This window comes from Homo sapiens, chromosome 2 (genome assembly GCF_000001405.40).
Source record: "Homo sapiens chromosome 2, GRCh38.p14 Primary Assembly".
Lineage (NCBI taxonomy): Eukaryota > Metazoa > Chordata > Mammalia > Primates > Hominidae > Homo > Homo sapiens.
This window is the reverse complement of record NC_000002.12, coordinates 149,960,539-149,969,143: the sequence shown is the minus strand read 5'-3', so window position 1 is coordinate 149,969,143 and position 8,605 is coordinate 149,960,539. Positions and strand designations below refer to the sequence as shown.

General features: G+C 40.2%; 2 annotated features.

The window, feature by feature from the left end:
• Positions 5,999-6,499: an enhancer, noted in NCBI's record as "H3K27ac hESC enhancer chr2:150819159-150819659 (GRCh37/hg19 assembly coordinates)". NCBI's record gives its function as "activates a minimal SCP1, AML or CMV promoter by ChIP-STARR-seq in primed H9 embryonic stem cells {active_cell/tissue: H9 hESC(primed)}" and the evidence as "EXISTENCE:reporter gene assay evidence [ECO:0000049][PMID:30033119]".
• Positions 6,500-7,000: an enhancer, noted in NCBI's record as "H3K27ac hESC enhancer chr2:150818658-150819158 (GRCh37/hg19 assembly coordinates)". NCBI's record gives its function as "activates a minimal SCP1, AML or CMV promoter by ChIP-STARR-seq in primed H9 embryonic stem cells {active_cell/tissue: H9 hESC(primed)}" and the evidence as "EXISTENCE:reporter gene assay evidence [ECO:0000049][PMID:30033119]".

Sequence of the window (8,605 nt, the reverse complement as noted above, 5' to 3'; positions counted from 1 at the left end):
GGAGGGTGTACGTGTTGAGGAATTTATCCATTTCTTCTAGATTTTCTAGTTTATTTATGTAGAGGTGTTTATAGCACTTTCTGATGGTAGTTTGTATTTCTGTGGGATCGGTGGTGATATCCTCTTGATCATTTTTTATTGCATCTATTTGATTCTTCTCTCTTTTCTTCTTTATTAATCTTGTCAGTGGTCTATCAATTTGTTGATCTTTTCAAAAAACCAGCTCCTGGATTCACTGATTTTTTGAAGGATTTTTGGTGTCTCTATTTCCTTCAGTTCTGCTCTGATCTTAGTTATTTCTTGCCTTCTGCTATCTTTTGAATGTGTTTGTCCTTGCTTCTCTAGTTCTTTTAATTGTGATGTTAGGGTGTCGATTTTAGATCTTTCCTTCTTTCTCTTGTGGGCATTTAGTGCTATAAATTTCCCTCTACACACTGCTTTGAATGCGTCCCAGAGATTCTGGTATGCTGTGTCTTTGTTCTCGTTTGTTTCAAAGAACATCTTTATTTCTGCCTTCATTTCGTTATGTACCCAGTAGTCATTCAGGAACAGGTTGTTCAGTTTCCATGTAGTTGAGCAGTTTTGAGTGAGTTTCTTAATCCTGCGTTCTAGTTTGATTGCACTGTGGTCCGAGAGACAGTTTGTTATAATTTCTGTTCTTTTACATTTGCTGAGGAGTGCTTTGCTTCCAAACATGTGGTCAGTTTTGGAATAGGTGTGGTGTGGTGCTGAAAGGAATGTATATTCTGTTGATTTGGGGTGGAGAGTTCTGAAGATATCTATTAGGTCCTCTTGGTGCAGAGCTCAGTTCAGTTCCTGGATATCCTTGTTAACTTTCTGTCTCATTGATCTGTCTAATGTTGACAGTGGGGTGTTAAAGTCTCCCATTATTATTGTGTGGGAGTCTAAGCCTCTTTGTAGGTATCTAAGGACTTGCTTTATGAATCTGGGTGCTCCTATATTGGGTGCATATATATTTAGGATAGTTAGCTCTTCTTGTTGAATTGATTCCTTTATAATTATGTAATGGCCTTCTTTGTCTCTTTTGATCATTGTTGGTTTAAAGTCTGTTTTATCAGAGACTAGGATTGCAACCCCTGCCTTTTTTTGTTTTCCATTTGCTTGGTAGATCTTCCTCCATCCCTTTATTTTGAGCCTATGTGTGTCTCTGCACATGAGATGGGTTTCCTGAATACAGCACACTGATAGGTTTTGACTCTTTATCCAGTTTGCCAGTCTGTGTCCTTTAATTGGAGCATTTAGCCCATTTACATTTAAGGTTAATATGGTTTTGTGTGAATTTGATCCTTTCATCATGATGTTAGCTGGTTATTTTGCTCGTTAGTTGATGCAGTTTCTTCCTAGCCTCGATGGTCTTTACAATTTGTCATGTTTTTGCAGTGGCTGGTACTGGTTGTTCCTTTCCGTGTTTAGTGCTTCCTTCAGGAGCTCTTTTAGGGCAGGCCTGGTGGTGACAAAATCTCTCAGCATTTGCTTGTCTGTAAAGGATTTTATTTCTCCTTCACTTATGAAGCTTAGTTTGGCTGGATATGAAATTCTGGGTTGAAAATTCTTTTCTTTAAGAATGTTGAATATTGGCCCCCACTCTCTTCTGGCTTGTAGAGTTTCTGCCGAGAGATCAGCTGTTAGTCTGATGGGCTTCCCTTTGTGTGTATCCCGACCTTTCTCTCTGGCTGCCCTTAACATTTTTTCTTTCATTTCAACTTTGGTGAATCTGACAATTATGTGTCTTGGAGTTGCTCTTCTCGAGGAGAATCTTTGTGGTATTCTCTGTATTTCCTGAATTTGAATGTTGGCCTGCCTTGCTAGATTGGGGAAGTTCTCCGGATGATATCCTACAGAGTGTTTTCCAACTTGGTTCCATTCTCCCTTTCACTTTCAGGTACACCATTCAGATGTAGATTTGGTCTTTTCAGATAGTCCCATATTTCTTGGAGGCTTTGTTTGTTTCTTTTTTCTGTAAACTTCTCTTCTCACTTCATTTCATCCATTTGATCTTTCATCACTGATACCCTTTCTTCCAGTTGATCCAATCAGCTACTGAGGCTTCTGCATTCTTCACATAGATCTCGTGCCATGGTTTTCAGCTCCATCAGGTCCTTTAAGGACTTCTCTGCATTGGTTATTCTAGTAAGCCATTCGTCTAATTTTTTTTCAAGGTTTTTAACTTCTTTGCCATGGGTTTGAACTTCCTCCTTTAGCTTGGATTAGTTTGATTGTCTGAAGCCTTCTTCTCTCAACTCGTCAAAGTCATTCTCTGTCCAGCTTTTTTCCGTTGCTGGTGAGGAGCTGCATTCCTTTGGAGGAGGGGAGGTGCTCTGTATTTTAGAGTTTCCAGTTTTTCTGCTCTGTTTTTTCCCCATCTTTGTGGTTTTATCTACCTTTGGTCTTTGATGATGGTGATGTACAGATGGGGTTTTGGTGTGGATGTCCTTTCTGTTTCTTAGTTTTCCTTCTAACAGTCAGGCCCTCAGCTGCAGGTCTGTTGGAGTTTTCTGGAGGTCCACTCCAGACCCTGTTTGCTTGGGTATCAGCAGCGGAGGCTGCAGAGCAGTGGATAGTGGTGAATAGCAAATGTTGCTGCCTGATTGTTCCTCTGGAAGTTTTGTTTGAGAGGAGTACCTGGTCGTGTGAGGTGTCAGTCTGCCCCTACTGGGGGGTGCCTTCCAGTTAGGCTACTCAGGGGTCAGGGACCCACTTGAGGAGGCAGTCTGTCCGTTCTCAGATCTCAAGCTGCATGCTGGGAGAACCACTACACTCTTCAAAGCTGTCAGACAGGTACATTTAATCTGCAGAGGTTTCTGCTGCCTTTTGTTTGGCTATACCCTGCCCCCAGAGGTGGAGTCTACAGAGGCAGGCAGGCCTCCTTGAGCTGCGGTGGGTTCCACCCAGTTCAAGCTTCCTGGCTGCTTTGTTTACCTACTCAAGCCTCGGCAATGGTGGGCGCCCCTCCCCCAGCCTCACTGCCGCCTTGCAGTATGACCTCAGACTGCCATGCTAGCAATGAGCAAGGCTTCATGGGCGTAGGACCCTCCAAGCCATGCGCGGGATATAATCTCCTGGTGTGCCATTTGCTAAGACCATTGGAAAAGCGCAGTATTAGGGTGGGAGTGACCTGATTTTCCAGGTGCCATCTGTCACCCCTTTCTTTGACTAGGAAAGCGAATTCCCTGACCCCTTGCACTTCCTGGATGAGGCGATGCCTCATCCTGCTTCGGCTCACACTCGGTGTGCCGCACCCAATGTCCTGCACCCACTGTCCGACACTCCCCAGTGAGATGAACCTGGGACCTCAGTTGGAAATGCAGAAATCACCCATCTTCTGTGTCGCTCAAGCTGGGAGCCCTAGACTGGAGCTGTTCCTATTTGGCCATCTTGGCTCCACCCCCAATTTACCTATTTTCAGTGAGAAGAGAGACCCCCTGTTACATGGAAGAACCAGTTTATAAGTTCCACTCAACCTAAAGACAAAAAGTGCTCTAGCTATCAAAAAATAAAATACTTTTTGTCATTTAGTTAATGAAAAATGATAATTCCAAAACACATTTACTAATAGCTTCACTATTTCTCAAAACTGTCATGCTAGATAAATAACAATGAGCACAGACTCTTTGGAAAGATAATTTTCAAAAAAATCAAACACAAAGTTATACAAATATGGAATGAAGATGTACCACCTATTTGTTAACTCACTTAATTATGTAACCAGTAGAATGGCAAACCTAGTTCAAAAAATATTTCAGGAACTAGTTATTTGGACATTTAAAACATGAACATGTTGTCGAGGTAAAATTCAAAGCTTATTCAGGTCCATCAGGCCAATAACACCACAAACTTTGGGCTGGACTTTTTATGGGAAAAAATTCTCCAGGTTAATATATAGCTTCAGAAATTCTGGGTTCTAATCAAGCAGCAAATAGCAAAGTTAAACACAGGTACATTCTCCAAGGGAATTAATAATCTCAGATGAGCCTATTAACAAAATGCTCCAGAGCGTCATTGAACAACAATGCTGTACTCTCTTTTGTCTTATCTGCAAGTCTCGACTACTTTTTCTTGACTACATCAGAATAAAATCTTGTGTATGTGTGTATGTGTGTGTGTGTGTGTGTGTGTGTGTGTGTGTGTGTGTGTAAGGGGGTTGATTTGGCAAATCCCAGGAATTTTATTTAACTATAATAGTGATAAGATGTGTTCCCACTCCCACTCCCCTGGGTTTAAATTGTCATTCTAGCAAATAATTTCTCTTTCTGTGGAACTCTTTTCCCATGTCATCCACATTCACCAAGAAGGTCAGTGTTATTTCCTGATTTTAAAAAAAGTAATCCTTTTCCCAGGCTATCCACACTCACCAAGAAGCTCAGTGTTATTTCTTGATGTAAAAAAAATTAATCCTTTTAGCCTAGGATCTTAATGACATTCTTCTCTCAAATGTTTAGCTATTCTTAATCACACATTATTCCAAGCTAATTTAAACATTTTCTTGTGTAATTAGTAAAGAAATACAACACTAAAACATAAAATAAAATAAAATAAAATAAAATAAAATAAAATAAAATAAAATAGAAATTTGCTAATTGCATTCAGTGCACGCATTGGTCTTTCTCTGTCAAGTACTCTACTCACTATCTCACTCTAAGATCAAGTGGGGTTTGGAAGAGATCTTAACCCTGTGGCTGTTACATGAGTCTCAGGCCTAAATAAATCTGCCCTCTGCATTCTTGAATATCTGTATATGTGCATGTGTGTGTGCGCACACATATATACACAAATATGTATATATACTCATGTACATACACATATATACACGTACATATAAACATATACATACACACATACACATGTAAATATGTATACATGGATATGTATATGGGCCAGGCATGGTGGCTCATGCCTGTAATCCCAGAACTTTGGAAGACCAAGGCAGGCAGATCACTTGAGGCCAGGAGTTTGAGACCAGCCTGGCCAACACGGCAAAACCCCAACTCTACTAAAAATACAAAAGTATTAGCCAGGTGTGGTGGCACACACCTATAATCCCAGCTACTTGGGAGCCTGAGGCAGAAGAATCACTTGAAACCAGGAAGTAGAGGCTGCAGTGAGCCAAGATCACACCACTGCACTCCAGCCTGGGCAGCAGAGCAAGACTCTGTCTAAAAATAAGAAAACAAAAAAAGACATGCATATGTATGTAGGCATGTACTTAGCATAGTAGTACTACATGATTTTGGGTTTTCATGTTTATTTGAATTTAATCATTCATTTATTCCATCAAGCAGTATTTCCTCAGTCAAGTAATATTCTTTCTATGCTAGACATTGGGCTAGGTGCTAGGGATATAACTCTGAAAATAAAGATATACACAAAGCCTCCCCTCATGGAGCTTAATGTCTTGTGAGAAAGACATTTAAAAAAACATATTGTATATCTATCTATTATATATCTCATCAATTTATCCATATCTATTATATATCTCATTTATCTATGTGTAACATGAAAAAGAAATACAAGGTTATGAGACTGCTATCCATGGAAAACAAACTACTCAGAACATAAAAAGTTTTTTCTGAGGCAGTGACAAGAAATCTATACAATGAAGAAAATGTAAGGTTTCTTCAGGATCTCATGGGCCATGTATGAAACAACATTGGAAATAATTGGATATGGTTGTTATATCAGAAAGCACAAAGCTCTGTCTTCCATTGTGTTCAAGATGACAGTGATGCATGTGTATCTTCACTTTCTGTTTTGAGTGATGAAAAACCTTTCAAACATGTTTAAGAAAAATGAAATATATTGGTTTATGTAATGGAAAAGTGCTTTCAGATATGGCTCATTCCAGGGTTCAAATAATTTATCTTTCTCTTAATTATCAGGCATTGCCTCCTTGGTATTGAATCCATTATCCAACCCTACATGCTTGAAAGACAGTAGCTTATAGCTCCAGGGACGATATTCTTCCAGGTTTAAATCCCGCAAAAATGTCCCATCACCATTATGAATTCTTAGATTCAAATGTGACCAGCTGTGGTCACTTACGAATGCCTGAGAAAACGTTACAAAACACTAGAAAATAAAAAACATGGGGGCCAAGATGGCCGACTAGAAGCCATGATGATCAGAGGCTCCCATCAAAAATATCCAAAACAGCATGCGAATCCTATACCAGAAACTGAGGTATCCAGGTTCTGTCATTAGGACTGACTGGGCAGCTGGCATGACCTATGGAGAGGAAGGAAGAACAGTGTGGAGCGGTGGCTCTCCTGAAAGCCACAGGGGGTAGGGGAGCCCCCATTCCCAGTCAAGGGAGGTGGTGAGTGAGTGCGCTACCCAGCCTGGGAAACAGTGCTTTTTCCATGAAACTGTGCAACCCACAGATTGGAAGATCCCACTCAGGAGCCCACACCACCAGGGTCTTCAGCTCCAATCATAGAGCCATGCAGATTCTCAACACTTACTCGGCTAGAATTGGCCTAAGCCTGCCGAGTTCCCAGGGAGAGGGGTGGCCATCAACACTACTGTGGCTGCCTGTGGTCTAAGGCATCTGAGCTCCTTGGGGGAGGGACAGCAGCCAACATTGTGGCTGCAGGGTCTCCCTGCAGGAATTCTAACTCCAGCCAGGGGCTCAGGGACAGAACGCTGATCTCCCTGGGCCTGAGCCCCTAGAGGGAGCGGTGGCCATAGTCTCCATGGACCAGCAGACTTAGTCTTTCCCGCCACTAGCTCAGAGGAATTGGATAAAGAGTCAAGACCCGTCAGTGTGCCATATTCAAGAGACCCATCTCATGTGCAAAGACACACATAGACTCAAAATAAGAGAATGGAGGAAAATTTACCAAGCAAATGGAAAGGAGAAAAAAGCAAGGGTTGCAATCCTAGTCTCTGACAAAACAGCCTTTAAACCAACAATGATCAGAAAAGACAAAGTAGGAATTACATAATGGTAAAGCAGTCAATTCAACAAGAAGAGCTAACTATATATAGCTAACTATATAACTATATATAACCTAAATATATATGCACCCCATACAGGAGCACCCAGATTCACAAAACAAGTTCTTAGACACCCAAAAAAGAGACTAAAAGACTCCCACACAATAATAGTGGGAGACTTTAACACCCCACTATCAATATTAGATAGTTCAACAAGACAGAAAATTTAACAAGGATATTCCGGATGTGAATGCAGCTCTGGATCAAATTAACCTAATAGATATCTACAGGACTCTTCACCCCAAAATAACAGAATATACATTCTTCTCAGTGCCACATGGCACTTACTCTAAAATTGACCACATAATTGGAAGTAAAATGCTTCTCAGCAAATCAAACAGAATGGAAATAATAACAAACAGCCTCTTAGACCATAGTACAATCAAATTAGAACTCAACATTAAGAAACTCACTCAAAACTGCACAATTACATGGAAATTGAACAACCTGCTCCTGAATGACTCCTGGGTAAACAATGAAATTAAGGCAGAAATCAAGAAGTTCTTTCAAACCAATGAGAACAAAGAGACAACATACCAGAATCTCTGGCATGCAGATAAAACAGTGGTTAGAGAGAAATTATAGCACTAAATGCCCACAGGAGAAAGCAGGAAAGATCTCAAATTGACACATTAGCCTCACAATTAAAAGAACTAGAGAAGCAAGAACAAACAAATCCAAAAACTACCAGAAGACAAGAATTAACTAAGATCAGACTGGAACTGAAGGAGATAGAGACATGAAAAACCCTTAAAAAAATCAGTGAATCCAGGAACTGGTTTTTTGAAAAAATTAATGATATAGACATACAGCCAGCTAGACTAATAAAGAAGAAAAGAGAGAAGAATCAAATAGACACAATAAAACATGATAAAGGGGATATCACCACCGACCCCAGCGAAATGCAAACTACCATCAGAGAATACCATAAACACCTCTATGCAAGAAAACTAGAAAATCTAGAAGAAATGGATAAATTCCTGAGCAGATAAACTCTCCAAAGACTAACCTAAGAAAAAACCAAATCCCTTAATAGACTAGTAACAAGTTCTGAACTTGAGGCAGTAATTAATAGCCTGTCAACCAAAAACCACCCAGGACCAGACAGATGCACAACTGAATTCTACCAGACATAAAAAGAGGAGCTGGTACCATGCCTTCTGAAATTATTCCAAACAATTGAAAAGGAGGGACTCCTTCCTAATACATTTTATGAGGCCAGCATCATCCTGATACCAAAACTTGGCAAAGATACAACAACAAAAGAAAACTTCAGGCCAATATCCCTGGTGAATATTGATGTGAAAATTCTCAATAAAATACTGGCAAACCAAATACAGCAGCATGTCAAAAAAGCATATCTACCATGATCAAGTTGGCTTCATCTGTGGGATGCAAGGCTGGTTCAACCTATGCAAATCAATAAACATAATCCATCACATAAACAGAACCAATGACAAAGACCACATGATTACCTCAATAGATGCAGAAAAGGCCTTGAATAAAACTCAACATCCCTTCATGCTACAAGCTCTCAATAAACTAGGTATTGATGGAACATAACTCAAAATAATAAGAGCTATTTATGACA